The sequence below is a fragment of the Homo sapiens genome, chromosome 8 (assembly GCF_000001405.40).
Source record: "Homo sapiens chromosome 8, GRCh38.p14 Primary Assembly".
NCBI classification, from domain to species: domain Eukaryota; kingdom Metazoa; phylum Chordata; class Mammalia; order Primates; family Hominidae; genus Homo; species Homo sapiens.
Genome location: NC_000008.11, coordinates 884883 through 912023, shown reverse-complemented (window position 1 = coordinate 912023; position 27141 = coordinate 884883). Strand labels below are relative to the sequence as shown.

The 27141-nt window shown below is 50.4% G+C and overlaps 1 protein-coding gene across 2 annotated transcripts in view, besides 5 other annotated features; it reads right to left on the bottom strand.

Moving 5' to 3' along the window:
• DLGAP2 (DLG associated protein 2) overlaps positions 1-27141 on the bottom strand; it is a 970849-nt gene that overhangs the window by 796453 nt on the left and 147255 nt on the right. For both annotated transcript variants that reach the window (NR_073397.2, NM_001346810.2), the window contains one exon: positions 4058-4112. Coding sequence is in view for 1 of the 2 variants with exons in the window: in NM_001346810.2 (NP_001333739.1) it covers positions 4058-4112 (55 nt within the window). In the remaining variant the exon portion in view is untranslated. The remainder of the gene's footprint in view (positions 1-4057; positions 4113-27141) is intronic.
• Positions 6144-6643: an enhancer, noted in NCBI's record as "H3K4me1 hESC enhancer chr8:855381-855880 (GRCh37/hg19 assembly coordinates)". NCBI's record gives its function as "activates a minimal SCP1, AML or CMV promoter by ChIP-STARR-seq in naive H9 embryonic stem cells {active_cell/tissue: H9 hESC(naive)}" and the evidence as "EXISTENCE:reporter gene assay evidence [ECO:0000049][PMID:30033119]".
• Positions 9413-10070: an enhancer, noted in NCBI's record as "H3K27ac-H3K4me1 hESC enhancer chr8:851954-852611 (GRCh37/hg19 assembly coordinates)". NCBI's record gives its function as "activates a minimal SCP1, AML or CMV promoter by ChIP-STARR-seq in primed H9 embryonic stem cells {active_cell/tissue: H9 hESC(primed)}" and the evidence as "EXISTENCE:reporter gene assay evidence [ECO:0000049][PMID:30033119]".
• Positions 10071-10729: an enhancer, noted in NCBI's record as "H3K27ac-H3K4me1 hESC enhancer chr8:851295-851953 (GRCh37/hg19 assembly coordinates)". NCBI's record gives its function as "activates a minimal SCP1, AML or CMV promoter by ChIP-STARR-seq in primed H9 embryonic stem cells {active_cell/tissue: H9 hESC(primed)}" and the evidence as "EXISTENCE:reporter gene assay evidence [ECO:0000049][PMID:30033119]".
• Positions 19596-20335: an enhancer, noted in NCBI's record as "OCT4-NANOG-H3K27ac-H3K4me1 hESC enhancer chr8:841689-842428 (GRCh37/hg19 assembly coordinates)". NCBI's record gives its function as "activates a minimal SCP1, AML or CMV promoter by ChIP-STARR-seq in naive and primed H9 embryonic stem cells {active_cell/tissue: H9 hESC(naive and primed)}" and the evidence as "EXISTENCE:reporter gene assay evidence [ECO:0000049][PMID:30033119]".
• Positions 20336-21075: an enhancer, noted in NCBI's record as "OCT4-NANOG-H3K27ac-H3K4me1 hESC enhancer chr8:840949-841688 (GRCh37/hg19 assembly coordinates)". NCBI's record gives its function as "activates a minimal SCP1, AML or CMV promoter by ChIP-STARR-seq in primed H9 embryonic stem cells {active_cell/tissue: H9 hESC(primed)}" and the evidence as "EXISTENCE:reporter gene assay evidence [ECO:0000049][PMID:30033119]".

The following is a 27141-nucleotide window of genomic DNA, read 5'->3' as shown; positions in this document are numbered from 1 at the left end:
TGCAGCCTAAAGAAAAGAATGTATTATGCTTACAACTGTGTAACTTAATTTTCCCAAATGTCATTGCAATTCTGAAGTGAAGGTCATTAATAATCAAGGGAAGGAAGCCAGATCATCTAGGAACTGAACAGCTCCCAAAGTTTTCCCTGCTTAGATCTCACTGTCAGGGAAATGTGGATTCAATGGAAGGTGGCTTCTGATGTGTTCTCCAGCATCCTTCCAACATACATTATACACATATCCTTCCAACATTCTCCAGCATCCTTCCAACATTCTCCAGCATCCTTCCAACATACATTATACCCACATCCTTCCAACATTCTCCAACATCCTTCCAACATACATTATATACGCATCCTTCCAACATTCTCCAGCATCCTTCCCACATACATTATACATGCATCCTTCCAACATTCTCCAGCATCCTTCCAACATACATTATACACACATCCTTCCAACATATGTTATACATGCATCCTTCCAACATGTTATACACGTCTTTCCAACATATATTACACACACATCCTTCCAACGTTCTCCAGCATCCTTCCAACATTCTCCAGCATCCTTCCAACATACATTATACAACCATCCTTCCAACATTCTCCAGTATGTTTCCAACATACATTATGCATGCATCTTTCCAACATATGTTATACACATATCCTCCCAATGTACGTTATACATGCGTCCTTCCAACATATACACGCATCCTTCCAAGATTCTCCAGCATCCTTCCAACATACATTACACACGCATCCTAAGAAACAGAATCCATAATGGAAAACGCACCGCTTAGGCCATGTCATCTCTTCACCATGGAGCCAAAGTTCTCACCCCTCCAGTTGGGTCAAAAATACTAAAGCAAGTGTAAGAGGTCTCTGTTGCTAGGAGGAACACCTGGCTATAAAACTTTAGACGGGTTCACTTTGCCCCAGAAAACAGCGACTCGTCATGAAAGGATGTTTGTGAAGAAGTCACTCCTTAAATGAGGATTCCAGCTCCAAGCAGGAATGGGCAGGCGTCTGGGACTATTTTAACTGCACGATGCCTTGAGTTCCACCAGAAACTCGACAGCCCAAGTCCAGCAGCAAGTGGGCCCGCCTTCAGCCCAAATGTGGTGGCGCATCCAGGACACCGCGCCCAAGGCCTGCTCTGCTTGGCGATCCTTTTTATAGCCCGCTAACCAAAAAAAAGGTGCTAAGGACGGAACCCCCTGCAAGGACACCAATCCTAGTAAAAGATGGTGCTGGATTCAAGCCAGAGGCAGCTGCAAAAATCCAGACACCTGAGACGTCCACTCTTCCCTGAGTCACTCCAACTTCCCGTGTATCTCGGCTTCAACGCTCACTCCAGGTAGGTTGCAAACCAAAGGCCTGTGAAAGGCCAATCAGGGGTCACCAAAGCAAGAAAAGGGAAGAATGCTTAGAAATAAAGACAGGCATAAATGTGCTTTGGGTTTTTATTTAAAGGCTTAAAAGTCACATATGTATTCACGTTTGTGCCTTCATGAAAAGGATGGTCTCCTTGGTCGCATTCTCCTCCACCAACAAACACACTTTTCTGAGAACAAGCAGCTGAACAAGACCGTATGGGAAAGTAACCAACGGAATTCCCTCTGACGCTTCACAGCATTGCCTAAAATCATCACAAATAATCAAAATTGCAAGAGAAAACGATAGGATATTTATCTTTCACAAGCAGCCATGTTTAATTCAGAAACATGACATGTATAAAGTTAATGGAGTATAAAGCATTTCTAAAATAAGTAAAAACCAAACGAGAAAAAAGTGATGATTCATCCCAAAGTTAATCTTCTTTCTAATTGTGGTCAAGCACCCGTAATGCAGAATCCGCCATGGTGATGCTGCCTAAGCGCCCAGTTTGGAGCATTCGCTACATTCTCACGGCCGGGCAGCCGTCCCCACCCTCCATCTGCAGAACTCGTTTCGTCTTCCAAAACGGAAACTTGGTGCCCATTCCAAAGTTAATCTCCTTAATGAGAAACTGCGAAAACTCTTCCACAAAACCATTGAGGTAGAAGAAAATTACAGTCGCCCTTACAAGGACCTTTATATGCCACTGAAATGCAAAAGTAATCACCAAGAACCTCCGCTGTGTTGAGGTCTGAAGACATTTCCAAACAAGATCTCCTAAATCATGAAGCAGCTTCGGACATACTGGAGCAAACTATTTGCTAAAAGCTAGAATTCTCCCCATCTTTCCATTCTGCATGGACTTACACTTTTAAGAGTTATAATCTCAACCAACACCTCTCTCTTCTCTGGAGCCACTCCTTCCCTTATCCACACCGAATATTAAAGCCTATGGTCTTCCACAGCTGACATGACAGTGAAACATTCTATACTATAAAAATAATTTTGAGGAAATTGCCCGGCTAATGTCCTCTGCGTTGAGGCCCCAGTGGAAGGCAGCTCTCTTGGTTCTACAGATTGATTACTTGGAGTCTCATGAAAAGTAAATAAAACATCTTCAGTTGGCAATGTTTTCCAAATTAACTTAAAACCATTTACAGAACAAACTGTCAAAAAAAAAAAAGACAAGGAAAATTCATTTCCATACTTAATACCCACTGTGATGTCCGCAGTACAGTAGTTAGCTTTTAACTTATTTTATCGTTATTCCTGATGTTTCTTAGAGTAATGATTCACCTGAATCAGGAAAATTAATTTCTTTTAAAAAATTGTGTGATGCTGACTTTGATGGACACAGTTGCAAAAATCTTTTTTACACATGTGACTTTTTCATACATTTTTACTCATAACCAAGACTTCCAGAAAATAAAAAGAGGCCCAAAAATATCTGACACACTCAACAAGCTTCCCTGTAAGCAGATATGCTCAAACTCGTAGCTGAGACACACTTGACTGGGTAAAAGAAAACAAAACAGGGACAGTTCCTCATTCTCAAGAAGAGTTCTATCAGTAATGTCATCCATCCATGCTCGTAATTAATAAAGATTGTATTTTTCTCAATACACCTGGTGTTTTACTCTGGAATGTATAATACAGACAATGTTGGCTACTGAGATACCATCATTCTTAGTGGTGAGTCAACAGTAAATCCCAACAAATTAAATTCTTCTAATTACCATAGAAGAGTCTTTGTAATTACCTTGTTATAGCTAGAAAACAAGTAAGAAAATGTCAGCAAACCTCTGTTTCATACCCAACTAAAACATCCTGGGACACAAATACATACTTGACAGCACACGATTGCTTTTAGAAATGAATCAGCTTGCAGAGCCCCTCACACGAAAGAGGCATCTTCTCCATACTTTCCTCAGGACTTGCAATTTCTTTGATAAAAATAAATCAGAAATCTTGCAGGAGGAAAACAAAAATGCAGATCCATATCCACAGGATAACAAGCCCTGACTGATTCTTTTTTCCCCTTAATTGTAATGATAACGAAGTTTTTTTTAGACCTTCTTTTTCTCCGTCATGTTTCCTTAAAGGTCAGGCAAAACACTTCCTCACAACCACCAGCCACACACGCCCATCCTGCCATGAGAAATTACACAGAGATGCATCTCCCACTTCAAAACATTCATGCCAGTGTTTTATTCACTGAGACCTTGGGGGTTTCCAGAACATAACATCTAGCCGATTCCCACCCTGATCACAAAGAAAGGCCTTGACTGCAAACAGATTCCAAACACATTTCTCTCTAGCCAATAAGAATGGTGATTTTCTTTAGTAAATAAGTATAATTAGCAAAATAAACAACTTTGAAACCAACAAACTCAAGTTTATAAGACAACCAGTTTCCCTTAAAAACCCAGGACAACAATCATCTATTAATAAAACTATTTCCTCTGTCAAATAAAAACAGATCTCTGGGCTCAGCTCATAAATCACCACAGAACTAAATATCCTACTTTCAGGTCTTACAGTTAGTTAATACGCAATCTTGCACTAAAAACAACCCACAAAATAAAAATGCACAAAATATCTAAATTAGGTAATCACATTTCTCACTTTTGCCACTGATACGAAACATATAATCCCAAATCAGAAGAATGAAATGTATTTACCTGTATTCCTGTCTGGTAAGATACAGCAATGCTTCTGCAGAATGCCAGGCAAAACCTGTTTTAAAACAAATAAATAAAATACATTTGTTATCATTCGCGTGGAGGAAGGCATCTCATTAACTGTTGCGAGTGTTTCTTCTAATAAGGTAGTTCAATGTTGCACAAAGTCAGCGTGCCCAGAAAGGCCTAACAAATTAAACGGTACAGAAAAATCTTGATGACACACATTTTTCATTGAAAAGGTTAATCAGGTGAGTGTGATTATCATCTATGCCGTTTCTGGAATGGGAATGCAGCCGGGTTTAATGGATGCCCCTAATGGGCCATCAGGGTCTTGAAAGCTGTACTCCAGGGGCTCCCACAATAAGGTAAATGGACCCACCAATTTTTGTGATGGCTTTTAAAATATTAGGCGCAATTAGAGCCTGGAAATGGAGGGCTGTTGGAACATTGTGCTGGGTCTTCCAGAGTCTGAGCTTCCATCAAGGGTGAATCACAAAGAAAAATGTGAAAGTAAGGGCTGTATTTACATTCATACTTCAGTAGTAAAATGGGAAGAAAATATCTTATTTGGTAAGTGAAGGAGAGGTGAAAATAACAGAGAATGGCTTTCCCAAGATTCAGCAACATAAAACAAATTGCAAAGCACACACTCCGGTAACGTGCAGCTGAAGAGATGTCTGTGGGAAATGTGTGATTATTTTTCTAAACTCAATTAGAGGAAAAGCTGAACTTTTATCCTAAATACTCCACACGATGAACTTGCAGCCATTCCTCAACCCTCCATGAAGACAGCATCTACAAGTCTCTGCTTATTACCTGTTCTAGGGCAATTTACCCAGGAGAGAGGGTGATTAGAGGCTGTTGCAAAGAAACACCAGTCATACGTTTGCCCTCGATCGACTTTCAGTCTGGCTGAGTATAGAGCAGGCTCTCATAAATGCAATGGATGAAACCACAAGAGATGATCTGGAATAACCACTCCCTTCTCCTCCATCCCCCCTCTCCCCGCCAATTCTTCTATATTGAAAAAAGAACAATTCTCTCCCAAATATAATCAATTGAAAACAAGACAGTATCACCAATTTTCAACTCTGTGCAAATCAACAGAGACAGAAAATAAAACAATAATGAGTTTTAGTACCTAGCAAATGCTGTGCAAAATGTGGAATTAAAAGTTCAATCACATGCTTCTCATGTGCACAGAGCTGCCTGTGTGGCTGAGGCAGAGAACAAACCGCGGTGAGACAGTCGGGGCAGGGAGGCGCTAAGCCTTGTGATAACCATGGGGTCAGGTGCTGGCCCCGTGCCACGTGGAAGCTGTCGGTATTTTTCATCAGTGCAGTCTGAGCCTCTAGGGTCGTATCTGACACTGTTTCCCTGATGAGCTCCTAGCCCCCATGCCCAACAGTGCAAGAACACACACACACACTCAACTCCCGGGGTTTGACGCCTTCGAGGGCTCCTCGCAGATCTGCCCTCTGTCTCATTCCACAGCCATGCCCATTCACTCACCTTTTCCAGCACTTTCCAAAGGGCCTCAGGGATCAAGGCCAGGCCTCAGAACCCACCCCCTCAGGAGGGATTCAATGATCCACCAGGTCTGAAAAGGCTACTGCCTCCACACCCCACGTGGAGATCAGAGACACACGTTTCCACAGGGAGGCTCCGCCACATCCTTCCCTAAACTAAGTTGCCCACAAAATACTTTTCTGTGCCAACGTCCCATTAACAGCCAGAGTGGAAACGCTGACCTAGTCAGCTGCAGACACCACCTAAGGGATCTCTTCCCTCACGGTCTCCTCCCGGCTGAAATCACAAGCTGCTCTGCTGGGTGCTGCTCCTAAGGAGGGGCTGCCCATAGGTAAGCCCCACGCACGTCCACAGTGGAACTTGGGGCCCTGCCCCGGCATCCCCAGCACCGACGGTTAGCTCCAGACTAACGCAAGTGCAGGCAACCCCATTCCACAGACATGTCTTGAAGAAGCGGGAATAAAGTCTCAATCAATCAAATCAGAGCATGGGACTCTATCACCATCGCTGCCCTTTCATGGTCTCAGCCACGTCTCTATCACGTGCAGTGGCGACAGTATTGGAAAGGGCCGCGAGAGGTCACAAGACATGCATGTGAGGTCAGTAGGACACGTGCTTGGGGGCGGGAGGGTGGGGCTGGGACCCCAAGCTATGGTCTGCCACAGCAGGACCAGCCCAGAATGTCACCTCCATGGGAGCTGGCGCCCCCCTCAAATGCCGCAGCTCCCGTGACCACCCCTCCAAACCCTGGATTCTGACGATACACAGAACCAGAGCACTGGAGGTGCTCACGGGAGGCCCACATCCTGCCTGTGGGACTCCTTTAGGGTCAGGGACAGGCAGGGCCCTCACTCCACAGAACTGCAAACCTCAGACCTCATCCCTGGACTCAGGCAATCAGACCTCACGCATGACACAATTGCATCTGCCAGGGCCTGTTTTATGCCGTCTCTGTTCGATTTGAAAAAGGGCTGTGGGGGGGGAATCGCTTGAGAGTCACCAGTTCAGACGCATGGTATGACGAATGATCCCACAAGCCAGTCATGGGGTTCCCGGGGCAGCTGTGCACTGTCCATTCTCATGGAGCCAAGTACGCCTGACCCCTGGGGTCCTTCCAGCCTCTCACTCTCCCCAGGAGACAGCCCCTAGCAGCACTGACCAGCAGAGCCACTCACTGCACCCTGGGATCTCGTCGGATGGTCCCACAAACACAGTGCCCACCCTGCGGCTCCCACAGAGCTTTCCTTGAACCCGCCAGGTAGCTCTTTATACTTGAGGATCCAAGACAAATCATCAACCTTCCAGGGTAGAATCCACGTGTGACTTTCCTAAAGGCAGACAATCTGTGTTCGAAAAAGGCGCTCACCCCTAACGTTGACAGCATTCTACCCGCCACAGTCACAGGCAGGATAGTGCATTAAATCCAGACCAGCCACGGCCTCTGGAAGGCTGAGCACACGTCGCTTGCCGCACCGGCTCTGGCTGGAGCAGGAAGGCAGGACCATAATAGGTTTATTTCTTCCTCTCTGAAGGATTTACAGAAGGCCGCAGAGGAGAATGAAATTATCCTTATTGCCCAAAGGCACTTTTAAAAGTTCAATTCCACACAACCTGCCTGTTCTACAGCAGCGTTTAGCAGCTGAGAAAGATCAGGAGGCGTGAGTTCTGCCTGCCACGGGTGCTGGGGCCACAAAATATACTCAGCGGTCACCCCGAGGTGTCTGTCCACACCCAGCCAGCTGCGAGCACTGACATGTGTTCCCGAAATACTGATTTCTAACCCCTCCGTGGCATCAGCCTGAGCAGGGCCCTCCTCATCTGAGGAAAGCAGAATCACAGAACGTGGAGAAGAAGCACCCCCGGGTCAGTGACCACACGTCCACTGGGGCCGTCACATGCAGCCATGTAATTTTTTTGAGACAGTCTTGTTCTATCGCCCAGGCTGGAGTGCAGTGGTGCGATCCCAGCTCACTGCAACCTCCACCTCCTGGGTTCAAGTGATTCTTCTGCCTCAGCCTCCCTAGTCACTGGGATTACAGGCACCTGCCACCACGCCTGGCTAATTTTTATATTTTTAGTAGAGATTGGGTTTTGCCACATTGGCCAAGCTGGTCTCAAATTCCTGACCTCAAGCAATCCACCCACCTCGGCCTCCCAAAGTGCTGGGATTACAGGCATGAGCCATCACGCCTGGCCAGCAATGTAATTTTAATTAATGAAAATCAGTTAAAACCTGAAATCTGGGTGCCCGGTCACACTGTCCACACACCACATGCTCACAGGCTACGTGTGGCCAGTGGCCTCGTCATATGCAGTGGATGTCAGACACGTGACTGATTTTCAGCTGAAGAAACTCGGCCCCAGCTAGGGTTCCCGACACCCCACCAGCGTCCTCTCTGTCCACTCAGGGCCTGGACCGCGTGTGTCCCCTGCGTCCAGAGGCCCAGGCCCGGCCACGCCTCTTCCTCACCCTCCCTGATGCCTCCCGTGCAGCTCCGCCCTCCAGGGGAACAGAGGGTCCCTGACGAATGTGAGTCTGAGCTGGGGAAGTGTTCCTGTGGAACGCGGCAGTCTGCTGCGGCTGCATAACGAGCACCGTAAGTCAGGTGACTTAACAGAAATGTGCCGACTTGGTTTCCCCCAAGACTCTATTTCCAAATAAGGTCATGTCTGGAGGCGCTGGGCTCCATCACACACTTTTTGGGAGACACGTTTCAGCCATAACATCACCGGGGTGCGGGCGGGAGAGCTTGGCGTCCTCCATGGCCGTGCCATTCACCAAGTCACTAAGCTCTTGGTCTCAGTGGCCCCATGAACAGAGTGGAGGAATAACACTCATACCAAGCAGGGGTCCAGCAGTAGAAACAAGCTGCCTCGCGATGACGTCCTATGGGAAGTAATCTGACACTGGCAGCTGCTGTATTCTGAGATGGTGACCGTCGTTACTAGCTCTACACAAGCCATAGCCACAAAAATACACAGGCCTGTTGTGGCTGATTTTATGGACACGGCCTTGCACATGTATTGAGCTGACATCACAGCCTTCAAAGGTGCTGCCCGGGGGGCTCTGCAGTTATTTCTACCGCCCCTCCCTGCTCTCGAACTGATGTTTGAACCAGTGGGCAGGACGCCTACAACTCGCTTATCCTACAGCCAAACCCAGCTATTCCCCAACCTGCTGAGTAGCTTCATAAAACATCCTTGTTTGTAATCTTTGGCCCCAACCAACCTGTGACTGCCTCCAGAAAGCAAAGGATAAAAACGTCCTGACATTAACGAGATTAAAGAGCATGGAGGCGACAAGATAACTCATAGGGACTCTGACGGCCGCTTGGGGATCCCTTGCCTGCTGCGCCACAACACTGGTCTCAAACCGCCCCACCGCCCCCGTCCACCCGCACTCTTTCCACCCCCCACCCCTGCCCACCCACACACTTTCCGCCCCCCCGCCCCCACCCACCCGAACACGTTCCACCGCCCCCGCCCCCACCCACCTGCCCACGTTCCACCGCCCCCGCCCACCCGCACACGTTCCACCCACCCACCCCTGCCCACCCACACACTTTCCGCCCCCCCGCCCCCCTACCCGAACACTTTCCACGCCGGCGGCCCCGCCCACCCGCACACTTTCAAGCCCTCCCCCGGCCCCGCCCACCTGCACTTTCCACCGCCCCCGCCCCCGCCCACCCGCACACTTTCCACCTCCCCCGGCCCCGCCCACCCGCACACTTTCCATCTCCCCCCGGCCCCGCCCACCCGCACACTTTCCATCTCCCCCTGCCCCGCCCACCCGAACACTTTCCACCCCCGACCCCTGGCATCCATCTCCTCGTGCCACCAGCCCTCTTCTTCCTTCCCAGCCCCGCTGTTTTCTTGTGATTCTCGGCTCCCCAAGGCCGCCGGGGCTGTATCTCAGTCACCCTCACGCAGGGCACCCAGCGCCTCTGTGACTCACGCTAGGCTACCTGGGCTCAAACCTTGCACACGCCTGGACCCCCCACTCTCCACCAGCACGAACTGCACACCGTGACTCCTTCCATGAACCCTCCGGCTGCCCTTGGAGTGCCCCCCCAGCCCCCGCGCCCGCCAATGCAAGACCGCGTGTCCCCCTCACAAATTAAAACACAGTCCCAGAACACACGTCCGCTCTGTGCCAGATACCATGGGGGCTCAGCGAGGACTCCTATCCAGTAGGAATGATCAGAGCCCGAGAGGAATAAATGAACGTGGCTGGGCGCCCGAGGAGGGGAGCGGCCGGGCTTGGATCTGTGCCTGGGCACTGTCCCCAGTCTGCTAGCCCCAGCCTCAGTCCAGCCTGTGTCTTGCTTCTGGCGCAACATTCCTGAGCAATCCCTCTGCGGTGGACCCACCAGGGTTCCTCGGTTCCGATGACCATGGCTTGGAACCCCCCTGGGTTCCCCTGACCACAGAACCTCACAGGTGGGGTCCAGTGGGGGTTGCACGGCTCCCACGCTGCCCTCCAGCCAGTTTCCTCCCTGCCCATCCCGGAGGATCCAAACTGAGCCACAGATGTCCAGCGAAGCCCTGGAAATCTCATGCCCAGCCTGCAAACGGGAGCAACAATGTTACAGGGCAAGTATTAAATGGCTGGCAACGTACGAGATGCTTGTTGATGAGCCTGGGAGGGTTCAAGCTCAAGCGTCAGGAGAACGACGCTGCCACAGCAATGGGGCAATGGGGACGCCCCGTGCTGCCATCGAGGCTGTTCTTGCTGGATCTCCCTCTCCACTGATCAAACAGTTTCAACTTCCGGTCCAAACCCTCCCTGCACAACTTTACTCCACATGCTTACATACTGCTCTCCTCTGAACCCCTACCCGGCATTTCTCAAGCCCTCAGAATACACATCTCACCGTGATCATTTAACGTCTCGCTCCTCTCTGGATGTTCCGCCTGCGCCCCTGCCTCTGCCCCTCACACTCAAGGGTCAATCCTCTCTACCAACCAAAAGGTGTTTCCACACTTGCTTTGTTTCTTAGCAGATAAACACTTTACTTTTTATCAATAAAGAGATTCACCTGTTAACTTTCTTTGGAAGAAATTCAAATAATAGAGAAATAGATGGATTTGTGCAGTGGAGGACTGCATTACTGTTTAAGCCTTTGGACCTACTTTTTGTATGAGACAGGGTCTTGCTCTGTTGCCCAGGCTGGAGTGCAATGGTGCGATCATAGCTCACTGCAGCCTCAACCTCCTGGGCTCAGCTCAAGCAATCCTCCTACATCAGCCTCCTGAGTAGCTGGGACTGCAGGTACACAACATCATGCCCAGCTAATTAAAAAACAATTTTTTTTAAAGATATGGGGTCTTTACCGGCTGGTCACAAACTCTTGGCCTCATGCAATCTTCCTGCCTCAGCCTCCTAAAGTGCTGGGATTTCAGGCATGAGCCACTACACCCAACCTACCCCGACTTGTCTTTTAAAACTATGTAATATAGTTTTGACAATAAAAACTCATATCCTTCCACTTTTGGAAGTTCAAAATACTTCTTCTCTGTTCTCTTCTCCTGGAACTTCTATTATTCAGCTGTCGGACCTACGGAGCCCATTTTCTTTTAACATCTCATTTCTGTTTTCTGTTTCTCTGTGTTTTTGTTCTACTTCCTGGGACATTCTCTTGCCTTCACATTCCAATCCTTCAGTGAATATCTCAGCTCCTGCCATCCTGCTGTTAACCTCCCCGGAATTTCTCTCTACAAATGCTCCTTTCGGGCTGCAGCCGCCTCCTGGTGATGGATTTAACGCCAGCTCCTCCCTTCCAGTTTACGTGTAGCCTCATAAACATGGGATGGGGCAGGAGCCATCCATGGGTGCTGAACCGGGGGAAATTCTGATGGGGAACAAGGTACCATGTGGTTTAAAACTATTCCCCACACACTGCATATTTGCTGCAAGGGGAGACAAAGAATAGTAATTATATGCCGGCAAGACCACCACCTCCAAGGTGTAACCAAAATGAACACCAGGAGTGAGAGGATGTGGGCCTCGGAGCTCCAGGAGCAACACCGTGAAGAGGAGGGCGCCCACCATCCGCCCGGGAGCAACCCCGTGAAGAGGAGGGCGCCCACCGTCCACCCGGGAGCGACACCGTGAAGAGGAGGGCGCCCACCGTCCGCCCGGGAGCGACGCCGTGAACAGGATGGCGCCGACCGTCCGCCTGGGAGCAATGCCCTGAAGAGCAGGGCGCCCACCGTCCGCCCGGGAGCGACCCCGTGAAGAGGAGGGCACCCACTGTCTGCCCGGGAGCGACGCCGTGAAGAGCAGGGCACCACCGTCCACCCAGGAGCGACGCCGTGAAGAGGAGGCCGCCCACCATCCACCCAGTGCCCTCTGTCCTCCTTTATTTTTACAACTTTTACATGTGAAGTTATTTCCAAACACAAAGGTCTTAAAGACATATTCTGCTTTCTCTTCGGTCACCCATCCTCCATGTCTTCTGCCTTCTGGGATGGTGATTCTCGCTGTTCCCGCTGGCCTCGGGAGGGAGGGTGCATGTCCCACGGGGCGTCCCACAGTCTCACCCTCTGCAGTTCACATAACAAATAAGTGGTGTGTCTGTGAAATACGTGCAGTTACACCACGCCACTGAATGTGCTTCTCCAGCCACATGAGCCTGAGATGTGAATACACGCTTTAGAGTGTCAAGAACATTAATATATACTCAATTAATTCTTTCCAGCTAATTCAACCTAGAAGAAACTGCCTTAGGTTTGTTTCTAGAATATGTGGCATTACAAGCTATGAGATGAGATGTATAGCATTTTAATGTTTGTGATGCCAGGACTTAATGATTTCCATATTTGTTTGATAATGTCTTCTATCTCTGGCCTCCCTTCTATGGCATTAAAAGTAATTAAGAGATGAGGTGCCTGCCACCACACACACAGCCAGAGAGGCCAGGACCAGAACTCCCCTCTGCCTCTCGCAGGCCAGTCATGTACCCCGTGTAACACCCATGCCTCTGCATGCAGGGCCGGTATCCTGGGTCTTGCCAGCTCTAAGGAGTCACACTCACCACTGAGGCCCTTCTCAGCAGCGTGGCCCAGGGAAGGCAGGTGCAGGCATCAGATAGGCTGCTCAGGGGACGTCTCAGCTCTGCCACCACGGGAAGGCCACCTTTGGCCAATGGCTCACAGGCTGTGCTGCACCTTCCGTGTTCAGGCAAAACCACAGCTCGTAGGGCAGCTGAGGACTGAAGGAGTCCCATGTGGAACGCACTATGGGAGCAGGTTGGAGAGAGGAACCATCCAGGGGCTGGAGATGCGGCGTCAGTGGCGTGAAGACATCAGGCTGCTGTTCCGCTGGATCTCACCAGCACTGGGATGAGCTGCCATCAGTCAACGGTTGTTATCTATGAGTCAGAGGTCTTCACACTTCCACTGGCGTCAGAACCGCCTGGGGGGCTTGTTAAACACCTTCTGCTGGACCCACGCAGGAGTTCTGGGGCAGGGCCCAAGAGTCTGTTTGTCCGTCAAGCTCCCAGGAACTGTCGGCGCTGCTGGTGCAAGAAACATTCTCTGATGCGCAGGGCTCACCCTCCAGTGAACAGGGATATCCACTCCATTAACCCCCTTCAAAGCTGCAGCTGAAACTCCATTTTACACGGGAGAGTGACCAAGGCAAAAACTCACAAGCACCAGAAGAACGGTGAGCACAAAGCAACAGCTTCCACGTGCTTTGTGAGATAAAGAGCAGATGGAGGGCCTTCTTAGAGCTGGGAATGCAGGACCAGAGGTCCCCACAGAGGCATCTGAGTGAGGACCCAGCAATGAGCTGCAGGGGCTGGAAGCACGCGGAGTCCCAAAAGGCAGGCGCCTCAAAATCCACGTCCAAACCTGCGGCTTCTCCAGGCCCCTTCCCTGCACACAGCACCCCCAATCATGTCTCCGTGACTAGAGAAATGGATGAGAGGGAACCAGACGCTGCATGGGCTTTGGATGTGTGCCCTGCGGATGAAGCGTCTCAGTAAGTGCAAAGCTCGCACACCAAACATCGCTGCCCCGGCCAATGACCGCCTTCCAGGGACCACGCCAGGGTGCACTTCAGCCCGAGGAGATGCGTGTGCTTTGTAAGAGATTTGGGGAGTGAAGTCACCCCAAGGCCTCTTGGGTGAAGTCGCCAGACCTCACCCAAGCAGGAGGCTACAGCCCTGGCCACAGTGGGTTAAGTCATGGGATAAACATTTCCAAAGCAAACACCATGGGGAGCACTTCTGCCCCCACACAGGTCACAGACAAGAACAGCCCTCAGCGGCTGACTGAGCGCTTTCCTGCTGTACGGTTTACTGCCCACTTGTACGGGTATCGTAGACCTGATACATGTTTTTACAAAAATTTATATTCATTCATTCATTCATTTTCCAACCCACTTACTGCAGGTCAGGGTCACACGTGGCGGGAGCTCACTCCAGCAGCTCAGGGTGCCAGGCAGGATCCAGGCCTGGATGGAGGTCACCACAGGCACTGAGACAGCAACGGAGGGAACACAGCAACTCGCTGCACGTGCAGGGCTTTGGGATGTGGGAGGAAGCCTGGTCCCCAGAGAAACTCACAGCCCTGGGGGAAGGAGCCAACCCCGCACGGAGAGCACCCCAGCTGGGATCAATGTTTTCCTCATCAGTGTCATAAGGAAAAGCCGTTGAACAGAAGAGCATCTGCGGTGCTCGCTTCTGGCTCACCCGAAACTCAGGATGCAGCCCTGTGAGCCCGTGGGGAGGGGGAGGGGCGGGAGGAGAGCGGCTGCCGGGGCAGGGAAGGGGCGGCAGAGGGAACAGAAGATGCAGGGGGTGCCGGGTCTTGGGAGTGAGACGCAGCCCTTCGCGCTCGCACACACCCCCGTGACTCCTCGGCTTCTTACCGGGCGCCCATGTTTATTAGATGAGATTAAAACAGACTCATGTAAAATAACGTCCAGCTAGTCTGCACAACAATTTTTACAACTGTGAGGAAGCATCGCTGAAATGTCCTTAAGAAAAAATGTAAAATGACCGTGAAATTCATCTGGAGTTGAAGTCCTCCCAGGCCTTCCTAAAGCTTTCCAGTTACAATGCAGATACATCGGCACAATCGTGGTGTTCACCTTCTTATTTAAAACATGCATCCAGCAAACCCAGACTAGAGCAAACAGGGTTTGGAGAAAGAAGGGAGCCTCAACATGGCCTGGCAGGACCAGGGTTGCTTGGTGACAAACACCTGTGAAATAAGGGATTGAGTGCGAGGCCACGATCATGTTTTACACGAGATTCCAGCATCTCCATGAAACATCAGCGTTTGTCACAGTGAACAGAGACCTGCTGCTGAACCCCCACTCCAAGCGCAGGAAGGGGGCTCCGATTCCACACCAGTGAGGGGGTTTCCTCCGATGATTCTCCCTTGCGCCACTGACTCTGGTGGCACTGAGGCAAGAACAGTCATTCAAAGCCTGTTACAGATGTAAAACTTGGGGCGACTTCACCCCTCAAATCTCTTACAAAGCACACGCATCTCCTCGGGCTGAAGTACCATCCATGAAGACTCTTCAAAACACAAAGAATTCATCAATTCATTAAGAGACACCACTTGTCTTAGTCAGCTGGGGCTGATAAAACAAAAGCCACAGACTGGGGGGCCCATAAATGAACAGCAGAATTCATTTCTCACAGTTCTGGAGGCTGCAGGTCCAGCGCGGAGGTGACGGCAGTGTCTGGTGAGGACCCACTTCCGGGCTCAGATGGTGCCTTCCTGCCATGCCCTCCCATAGAAGACAGTACTTGGTCTCTTCCTCTTCCTACAAGGGCACGAATACCAACATGGGGGCCCCACCCTCGTGACTACACCTCGCCGTCATCGCCCCCCAGGGCCCCACCCTCCAAGCACCATCCCACTGGGGACCAAGGCTTCAACATAGGAATTTGGGGGGACATGTTCAGTCCATGGCACCATTTAGATGTCGGATGGGTACCCCAAAATTAGTGTGACTTCCCCAAATACATCATCTCCCCACCACCCAGCCCCCCCGCCCTGGTGTCACACCATCCCGGCAGCTCAGGGTGCCAGGTGGAACTGGCAATGGTACCACCATTCCACTCCCCGGCCAGGTCCTGCACAAAACCCTACATCCTCTCCTCCAAACCTGCATCCCATCCATTATCCCCATCCAACAAACCCTGGAGATTGACACCTCTCACCACTGCCCCACACCTACCTAGCCACTATCATCCCCATCCAACAAACCCTGGGGATTGACACCTCTCACCACTGCCCCACACCTACCTAGCCACTATCATCCCCATCCAACAAACCCTGGGGATTGACACCTCTCACCACTGCCCCACACCTACCTAGCCACTATCATCCCCATCCAACAAACCCTGGGGATTGACACCTCTCACCACTGCCCCACACCTACCTAGCCACTATCATCCCCATCCAACAAACCCTGGGGATTGACACCTCTCACCACTGCCCCACACCTACCTAGCCACTATCATCCCCATCCAACAAACCCTGGGGATTGACACCTCTCACCACTGCCCCACACCTACCTAGCCACTATCATCCCCATCCAACAAACCCTGGGGATTGACACCTCTCACCACTGCCCCACACCTACCTAGCCACTATCATCCCCATCCAACAAACCCTGGGGATTGACACCTCTCACCACTGCCCCACACCGACCTGGACAGCAACCATCCTCCCGCAGCCTGACTGGTTCAGCAGCCTCCTGTCCCATAACCCTCCTTCACACCACCACCGAAAGGGCTCTCATAAACCTCGTGAACCCTAAGTCACACTGCATTATTCTGCTCAAAACCCACTGCAATGGCCCCAAACATTTCATCGTTAAAGGGCCTGAAGGCCCCATGCAATGTGGCTCTAGCTACCACTTCCAGCCTCCTCTCAAGCTCTGGTTACACAAACCCTTCCTGCTCCTCATCAGCGCCAAGCGTGTGGTCTCAGAAGGGGGGACGGGCAGCGTCCAGAGACCGACAGCCCCCTGCTCCCCGGAAACAGAGGTGGAAAGAGCTGCTGTGTCTCAGCACGGGGGATGCTGCAGATAAAACAACACTGCAACTGCAACAGCTATTACATTATACACATCCATAATTTTAAGTTTTATTTTTAGTTGACATATAATGACTGTGTATACTTATGGAGTCCGATATGATGTATCCGTCCTGCATACATTGTGGAATGACCAAATTGAGCTAATTAGCATATCCATCACCTCAAGGATTTACCATTTCTTTGTGGTGAGAACATTTTAAATCCCCTCTTCTGGCTGTTCTGAAATATGCAGCTCTGTGTTATTATTAACTGCAGTCACTATACTGTGTAGCCTCCAGAGCCCACCAGCCCACCCAGCTGACTCCCCACACCCACCCCAGCCCTGCCAGCCACCACCCCACTCCCCCACCCTGCCCTGCCAGCCACCACTCTGCTCTTCCCATGCCACCCCTGCCATCCGCCACCCCACTTTCCCCACCCCGCCCCTGCCAACCGCCACTCCACTCCCCCCACCCCGCCCCTGCCGGCCGCTACCCCTGCCAGTCACCACTCCGCTCTCCCCACCCCGCCCCTGCCAGCCTCCACTCTGTTCTCCCCACCCCACCCCTGCCAGCCACCACTCTGCTGTCCCCACCCCGCCCCTGCCAGCCACTACCCCTGCCAGTCACCACTCCGCTCTCCCCACCCTGCCCTGCCAGCCACCACTCTGCTCTTCCCATGCCACCCCTGCCATCCACCGCTCCACTTTCCCCACCCCGCCCCTGCCAGCCGCCACTCCACTCTCCCCACCCCACCCCTGCCAGCTGTCACTCTGCTCTCCCCACCACACCCCTGCTCCGCCTCCATACATTTGCCTTGTCATAGATTCCCACGTGAGTGAGATCAGCTGTGCTTGTCTTTCTGCACCTGGCTTATTTGTCACGGTGTCCCCCAGCTCCATCCATGTTTCCACAAATGACAGGATTTCATTCTTTTTTAAGGCTAAATAGTATTCCATTGTGTACATGCCACATTCTCTTCACCCACACATCACTCCTGGGCACGCAGGTAGATTCAGCATCTTGGCTGCTGTGAACGCATCAGAGGGGAGGGCAGCCCTGTCCCTGTCACACCAGTCTCTGTAACACAGAGATGTCTCGACCGTGCTGGAGTGACAACCTCCAAGTCTAAGGGCTGGAAGCCACAAAGATCACTCATTCCGTGTCCACCTCAGGCTGCAGGGAGGCTGCTCTGGGGGCGTCTCCCACCCAAGGGCTCAGCTGACTGAGCCTCCAACAGCAGAAACATTGCAGTGGCCATGGGAGAGGGAGACGCACACTGCTCCGAGAGGGCCCTTCCCACAAGGACGTCTCACGCACGAGGGGAAGAAGCCCCTGCCTGCCAGAAGGGAAGAGCAAGAGGGGCCTGAAGCCTGAGCCACACGGCCTGGGTGACCTCGAAGCCTCGGGCCGACAGCCAAGGAGAGAAGGCTGAGCTACTCGGAGACGCCGAACCTCCCAATGCTTCAACAGTAACCATGGGAACCTCTGCACTCCGAGACAACCACATCCGCATTGTCACAGCAAGAGGAGGGGCTCGGGCCCCATGCTGCTGGCCGAAGGGGGTCTCGTTCTGTCAGGACACACCTTGGAGACCCCCATGTCCAGAGCCTAGGACAGCACCTGGCAGGGCTGGTGCTCTGCAAACATTTTCCAAAAGAACGACGGTTAACAGAGTCCTGGATAGACCTGCAGGCAGGAGGGCCGCTGGATGCTGTCATGAAACCACAGCATGCCTAACGGACTTCCCTCACTGCAGAAAGACCCTCCTGACAGCTTCCGGGCTGAGGGGCGGCCCCAGGGCCACACTGGATGGAAGGGCAGCTTCATCCAAGACCGCAGGACTGGGCTCTAACCCCACCCTCCCCTTCATGGGACAGGTTTCCTGCCTATCTGCTGCAGACAAGGGTGCATATTTGCTCCATCTGCCTAATTAAATCTAATTGAATGGATTTGCAATGTGAGAAATTAGATACGACACGTAAGTTAGATGAATCACAGGGCAGCCTCATCGAATTGGTCATCCTGGCAGGGTCAAAAGGCACCCAGCAGTTCAGGGTCTTCCACCGTGCCTGCCTTCCTAGCTGTCGGACATTCTGCAAAACGTCATCATTTTACCCAAAGGGAAAGTGACTCTGGAGGGCAGGACTCTCCCATGACCCCACATCGCATGCCACTCTGCAGGATCCGGCCTGCCCTCGGTTCCACTTCTGCCCCACGTTGCACGCGGCTCAGCAGGAACCAGCCTGCCCTCGGTTCCACTTCCGAACTTGCAGGCAAGGGTGTCTCACTTCAGGTCATCTTGTAAAAGGCAAAGGCAGCCTCTTTAGCCCCGGGCTTTCCTCTGGACGTGCAAAGTACTTCTGTGAGTCCAGAGCTTGATCCTGGAACCAACCATTGTTTGCACAACCACAGACCAATCCCAGAGGCAGGATGCAGACCAGGAGGCACGGGATTCCATGGGGGTGGGTTGGGGGTGGGGACCTGTCCATGCCCTGGCTGGCTAGGGATGCTTAGAAACTGCATTCATCTAACATTTCTGTAGGACTAAGAAGCTGCAGCAGGAAAAACCCTAAATTCCCTCCTAAACCTGAGATGTTGCTGCTACTGCTGGAGCATGGCCTGCCTGGCTCGGCCTCTCCTACCCATCCCTCTGCCCCGCCTGGTGGTTCCCGGTCTCCCCCGCCTCTCTGTTCTGCAGCAGAAACGGAACTGTGCTTCCAGCACAGGGAACAGACCAGGGAGCTGACCTACCCAGGGAAGCCACGCAGCTAAACCCTCCATTTTCTTTAACCACACATTTGCTTTCTCCATCTAGCTGTGTTGTCCTCCCACGCCCCCTCCCCAGCCCCTGGCACCCCCCATTCTACTTTCTGCCTCTATGAATCTGCAGCCCCAGGGGCATTGTATGAGTGGAGTCACACAGCAAGGTCTTTCTGTGACTGGCTTATTCCACTCAGCATAGTGTCCCCAGGGTTCATCCACCCCATAGCCTCGTCGGGATTTCGTTCCTCTTTGAGGCTGACTCATGTTCGGCTGTGTGGATGGGCCGCTCTTCACCCATCCTCCCATCCATGGACGGACACGCTAGCTGCTGCCACCTCTGGCTGCTGTGCACAAGCCGCTATGAGCCTGGGTGTGCAGGGGCTGCCCCGAGACCCCGCTGTCTATCATTTGGATCAACTCAGGAGGGGAACGGCTGGGTCACAAGGTGGTTCCGTCTCGAGTTTTTGATGAATCTCCATACACCATTTTCCACAGCATCTGCCCCATCTTCCATTCCCAGCAGCAACACCCAGGACCCAATTCCTCCACATCCTCCCAACACTTGCTATTATCTGCGGTTTTGACAGTGGCCATCCTAAGGGGCAAAAGGGGCTTTCTCGGCACTGACTCATGCACACTTACGTGCAGTGTTACAGGAAAGCATCACCTCCATGCTCTGTGTGGCGCAGCCCCCAGACACCTGTGGATGCGGCCCCAGTCACTAGCCCGGCTTCCCTGCAGCAGTGGAAGCTCTCCCAAGGTCCTCCCCCTCCTCGGCTGGCTGGGATGCAGGCTTTGTATCCCCAGGCAGTGAGAATCTCTCCCAGGCCCTCCCCGTCCTGGGCTGGCTGGGATCCTGGCGTGCTTTGCACTCCACAGTGTCTTTTAGAATTCTCTTTGTCTCTTTGTCATGGGATTCTTCTTTCTCAAGGGTCCTATTTATCATTTAAATTAGATCTTCCTGTCCACACCACCCATCCTCTACTCCCAGAACCAGCCACCTTCTGAATCCCGGAGGCTCTCGAGGCCGGCCTCACGCTCTCTGAGATGGAACAGTCCTGCGATCAGCCCTCCCCAGGCGAGGCTCCCATCCTGTGGCCCAGCAGCTGCCCACGCACACACGGGTGCAGGGAAGGTGCCACCTGGCATCACCTGAACCCCAAGAGAACAGCTTCCGACCGCAGGGAGAGCGCATCCCCTCGTCTGCCATGTGTACACCTCACCAGGGCTGTACCACTCACATTCTCCACAGCCTGACCTTTTGGGCCTCTGCTGTTTCTCAGCCCCCACCCCTGGCCTTTCTTCTGCTTTTCTATTGAAATCCTGAGCATTTCTCAAAATTAAGATGAAATAAAATACCCTTCCTGACATGCACACGCCTGGTCCTGGTCGCCACACGGGTCCTTGTCGCCTTTCACCTTCAGCCATGCCCTCAATCACACCTGTGGCCTGGAAGCCCACATCCTTGGCCTTGGCAACTGGGGGGGGGGTGCCTTATTTACCCCGAATTCCTCACAGCCTCTGAAAAGCACCCCCCAAGGGAGGGGGAGCCAGAAGAGGATGCCACACCCTGCCCACCATGAAGGGATGAGGGGAGGGAATCAGGGACACAGCCCTGCAAACCCAATAGCACTGACCCAGGTCCTGGGGGCAGTGAGGACAAGGGGGAGCCAGTAAGGGGCACAGCCGGGTGGGCGGGAAGGTCACACAGCGAGGATCTCCCAGCTGGGGTGCCAAGAACATCCCATGCAACAGGGTTGTCATGCCCTAGAGTTTAGGGGGGTCGGGAAACGCCCCAGGGTGGCTTGGGCACAGAGGGGAGGTTTGCAAAGGACAGGGGGCTGAGGCCGGAGACACACAGGAAGCAGATCCCAGCCACACTCTGCCAAGGGGATCTGTGATAGGACAACATTGAATCTGCATCTGGACAGGTGGCTCTGCTGGTGGCACCGGGTGGGTGAGGGCAAACCTGCAAGTCCCCACTGTGAGGCTCCTGGGGTAGAATCAAGAAAGCGCAAGGAGGAATTACGCAGCCGCAGAGGGAAGGGGAGGAGGGAAGGGAGGAGGAGGCGCCATCGAGACCCAGAAGAGAAGGGCCATCCTGGCAAGGCGGAGCAGAGGAATAAGAACGAGAACCAGAAGGGAAGACAGCGCACATCCCCAACCTTCCATCAGGCTGGAGAGGCAATTCCCGAACTATATTCCCATGGGGAAAAAAAACGTTCCATGGTCAAGGAAGTCAAAGAATCACAGAATAAACACTCATCCAGGCGCCTGCAACGACAAGTGGTCACAAACGCTCTGAAAAGTCCTGCAGCAAACCACGCTCTGCCATGCGCGTGCACGTGCATGGCTCATCCTAGACGGCTTTTCTTAATGTCTGTATCAGAAACTAAACGCCCAAGGATGATTATTCTGGCCGAGATGGCTGACTAGAAGCAGAGCCGTTTGGAGGCTCCCATCGGAAAAAAACAAAATAAGCATGTGAATCCTTCACCGGCAGCCAAGGTATCCAGGTTCTCTCATCAAACTTCACTAGAAGGCTGGCGTGACCCACAGAGAGGAGGAAGAGCAGTGTGGTGAGGGGGCCACCCGAGAAACACACGGGGAAGGGGAGTCCCTTCCCCCAGCCAAGGGAGGCGGTGAGTGAGCACACTACCCAGCGGGGGAAACTTTGCTTTTCCCACAAAACCGTGCAACCCACGGATCAGAAGATCCCACTTGCAAACTCACGCCACTGGGGCCTACAGTTCCAGCCCCGGAACGTGAAGATTCTTACAGCCTCTCTGATGGAATCTGCTTAAGCCTACAGAACTCCTGGGGGGAGGGGTGACCAGCACTGGCTGCAGCGGCCTGCTGTCTAAGCTGTTTTAACTCCCTGGGGAGGGGCAGCAGCCAGCACTGGGGCTCACAATGGCCTAACATGCTAAACTCCCCGGCACCCATTTCTATAGCTCCAGGCTGCGCTCTTCCCCTACTGGAGCCAGGGAAGCTGAATGGCTTGGTCCCAAGACTTGTCTGCACAGCGCAACACACCCTGTGGCCGTCTGTGTCCAGAGTGCTCTTCAGGCTCGACCCTGACCCATCCTTCCTCAGTGGGTGGCTTCCCTGCAAGAACTCCAATAACTCCAGCCAGAAGCTCAGGGACAGACCCCAGAACTCCCTAGGCCTGAGCCCCTAGCTGCAGGGTGGCCACAGTCTCTGGACCAGCAGACTTAGCCTCTCCTCCTGGGAGTTCTGAGGAACCCAGGCAGCCCAGACACATGTGCTTCCCTGCAGTGAAACACACCCTCTCCACCAAGGGACAAAGTGCTTCATTAAACGGGGCCTGCTGTCAGGCCTCTGAGCCCAAGCTAAGCCATCATATCCCCTGTGACCTGCACGTACACATCCACATGGCCGGTTCCTGCCTTAACTGATGACATTTCACCACAAAAGAAGTGAAAATGGCCTGTTCCTGCCTTAACTGATGACATTGTCTTGTGAAATTCCTTCTCCTGGCTCATCCTGGCTCAAAAGCTCCCCTACTGAGCACCTTGTGACCTCCAGTCTGCCCGCCAGAGAACAACCCCCCTTTGACTGTAATTTTCCTTTATCCACCCAAATCCTATAAAATGGCCCCACCCCTATCTCCCTTCAATGACTCTCTTTTCGGACTCAGCCCACCTGCATCCAGATGAAATAAACAGCTTTATTGCTCACACAAAACCTGTTTGGTGGTCTCTTCACACGGACAAGCATGAAACCTGCTCCTCGTGCAACCCAACTCGGTGAGACCCTCCAACAGGGGTTGTCACACACCCTGTACACAGACACCCTACTGGCAACAGGTTGGTGCCCCTCAAGGTCAGAGGTCCCAGAAGAAGGAACAGGCACCCATCTTGGCTGTTCTCCAGCCTCCCTGAGTGACATCTCCAGGCACAGGAGTGAGTCAGATGAATAGGGCCTGAAGTGAACCCCCAGCAAACTGCAGCACCCCAACAGAAGAGGGACCGGATTATTGAAAAAAAAAAAAAGCAGAAAGTGACAACAGCATAAACAACAACAAAAATGGCCCCCACAGAAACCCCATCCAAGGGTCAGCAGCCTCAAAGACCAAAATTAGACAAACTCACAAAGATGAGAAAGAATCAATGAAAAAAAATGCTGAAAACCCAAAAGGCCAGAGGGTCTTATCTTCTCCAAATGATCACAAGTCAGCGTGCAGAACTGGATGGAGGATCAGGTGGACAAATTGACAGAAGTAAGCTTCAGAAGATGGGTAACAAAAAACTACGATGAGCTAAAGGAGCATGTTCTAACCCAGTGCAAAGAAGCTAAGAACCTTGATAAAAGGTTAGAGGAATTGCTAACTAGAATAACTATTTATAAAGGAACATAACCTGACAGAGCTGAAAAACACAGCACGAGAACTTCATGAAGCATACACAAGTATCAATAGCTTAATTGACCAAGTGGAAGAGAGGATATCAGAGTTTGAAGATCACGTTACTGAAATAAGGCATACAGACCTTACATAAGGCAATAGAGAAAAAAGAATGAAAAGGAATGAACAAAGCCTCCAAGAAATGTGGGACTTCATAAAAAGATTAAACCTACGATTGATTGGAGTACCAGAAGGAGACAGGAAGAATGGAAACAAGCTGGAAAACACACTGCAGGATATTATCCAGGAGAACTTCTGCAACCTAGCAAGACAGGCCAACATGCTAGGAATTCAGGAAATACAGAGAACACCATTAAGATGCTCCATGAGAAGATCAACCCCAAGACACATAATCATCAGATTCTCCAAGGTTGAAATGAAGAAAAAAACGTTAAGGGCAGCCAGACAGAAAGGCCAAGTCACCTACAAAGGGAAGCCCATCAGACTAACAGCAGACCTCCAGCAGAAACCCTACACGCCAGAAGAGACTGGGAGTCAATATTCAACATTCTTAAAGAAAGGAATTTTCAATCCAGAATTTCATATCCAGCCAAACTAAGCTTCATAAGTGAAGGAGAAATAAAATCCTTTCCAGACAAGAAAATGCTGAGGGATTTCATTACCACCAGGCCTGCCCTGTAAGAGCTCCTGAAAGAAGCACTAAATATGGAAAGGAAAAACTGGTACCAGCCACTGCAAAAACACACCAAAATATAAAGACCAATGACACTATGAAGAATCTGCATCAACTAGTGTGGAAAATAACCAAATAGTATCATGATGACAGGATCAAATTCATACATAACAATACTAACCTTAAATGTAAATGGGCTAAATGCCCCCAATTAACAGACACAGACTGGCAAATTGGATAAGGAGTCAAGACCCATCAGTGTGCTGTATTCAGGAGACCCATCTTACATGCAAAGACACATGTAGGCTCAAAATAAAGGGATGGAGGAATATTTACCAAGCAAATGGAAAGCAAAAAAAAAAAGCAGGGGTTGCAATCCTAATCTCTGACAAAACAGACTTTAAGCCAACAAAGATCAAAAATGGCAAAGAAGAGCATTACATAATGGTAAAGGGATCAATTCGACAAGAAGAGTTAACTATTCTGAATATATACGCACCCAATAAAGGAGTATCCAGATTCACAAAACAAGTTCTTAGAGACCTACAAGGAGACTTAGACTCCCACACAACAATAGTGGGAAACTTTAGCACCCCACTGTCAGTGTTAGACAGATCAACAAGACAGAAAGTTCTCAAGGATATTCAGGACTTGAACTCAGCTCTAGATCAAATGGAACTAGTAGACATCTACAGAACTCTCTACCCCCAATCAACAGAATATACATTCTTCTCAGTGCCACATGGCAACTATTATGAAATCAGCCACGTAATTGGAAGTAAAACACTCCTCAGCAAATGCAAAAGAACTGAAATCATAACAGTCTCTCCAGACCACAGTGCAATCAAATTAGAACTTGGGATTAAGAAACTCACTCAAAACCACACAATCTCATGGAAATTGAACAACCTGCTCCTGAATGACTCCTGGGTAAATAATGAAATTAAGGCAGAAATCAAGAAGTTCTTTGAAACTAATGAGAACAAAGAGACAACGTATCAGAATCTCTGAGACACAGCTAAAGCAGTGTTAAGAGGGACATTTATAGCACTAAATGCCCACATCAGAAAGTTAGAAAGATGTCAGATAGACACCCCAACAGTGCAATTATAAGAGCTATAGAGGCAAGAGCAAACTAATCCAAAAGCTAGCAGAAGACAAGAAATAACTAACATCGGAGAAGAATTTAAGGAGATAGATGAAAAATGGTCCGAAAAAAATCAACAAATCCAGGAGCTGTTTTTTGAAAAAAATTAACAAAATAGACTGCTAGCTAGACTAATAAAGAAAAAGAGAGAGAAGAATCAAAGACACAATAAAAAATGACCTCAAAGAAATACAAACTACGATCAGAGAATACTATAAACACCTCTATGCAAATAAACTAGAAAATCTAAAATAACTGGATAGATTCCTGGATGCATATACCCTACCAAGACTAAACCAGGGAGAAATTGAATCCCTGAATGGAACAATAACAGCTCTGAAATTGAGGCAGTAATTAATAGCCTATCAACCAAAAAAAGCCCAGGACCAGACGGATTCACAGCTGAATTCTACCAGAAATACAAACAGGCACTGGTACCATTCCTTCTGAAACTATTCCAAACAATTGAAAAGGAGGGACTCCTCCCTAACTCATTTTATTAAGCCAGCATCATTCTGATACCAAAACCAGGAAGAGACACAACAATAAAAGAAAACTTCAGGCCAATATTCCTGATGAACATTGATTGTTAAACACTCTCAATAAACTAGGTATTGAAGGAACATATCTCAAAATAATGAGCTATTTACGACAAACCCACAGCCAATATCATATTGAATGAGCAAAAGCTGGAAGCATTCCATCTGAAAACCAGCACAAGACGAGGAGGCCCTCTCTCATCACTCTTATTCAAATAGTATTAGAAGTTCTGTCCAGGGCAATCAGGCAAGAGAAAGAAATAAAGGGTATTCAAGTAGGAAGAGAGGAAGTCAAGTTATCTCTGTTTGCAGATTACATGATTTTATATTTATAAAACTTCATCACCTCAGCCCAAAAACTTATTGAACTGATAACCAACTTCAGCAAAGTCTCAGGATACAAAATCAATGTGCAAAAATCACAAGCCTTCCTTTGTACCAACAATAGACAAAGAGCCAAATCATGAGTGAACTCCCATTCACAATCACTACAAAGAAAATAAAATACCTAGGAATACAGCTAACAAGGGATGTGAAGGACCTCTTCAAGGAGAAGTACTTAAACCACTGCTCAAGGAAATGAGAGAACACAAAGAAATAGAAAAACATTCCATCCTCATGGATAGGAAGAATCAATACTGTGAAAATGGCCGTACTGCCAGCAATTTATGGATTCAATGCTATTCCCAAACTACCACTGACATTCTTCACAGAATTTGAAAAAACTATTTTAAATTTCATATGAAATCAAAGAAGACCCCATATAGCCAAGACAATCCTAAGCAAAAAGAAGAAAGCTGGTGGCATCATGCTACCTGACATCAAACTATACTACAAGGCTACAGTAACCAAAACAGCATGATACTGACACCAAAACAGACATATAGACCAATGGAGCAGAACAGAGACCTCAGAAATAACACCACACATCTACAACCATCTGGTCTTCAACAAACCTGACAAAAACAAGTAATGGAGAAAGGATCTCCTA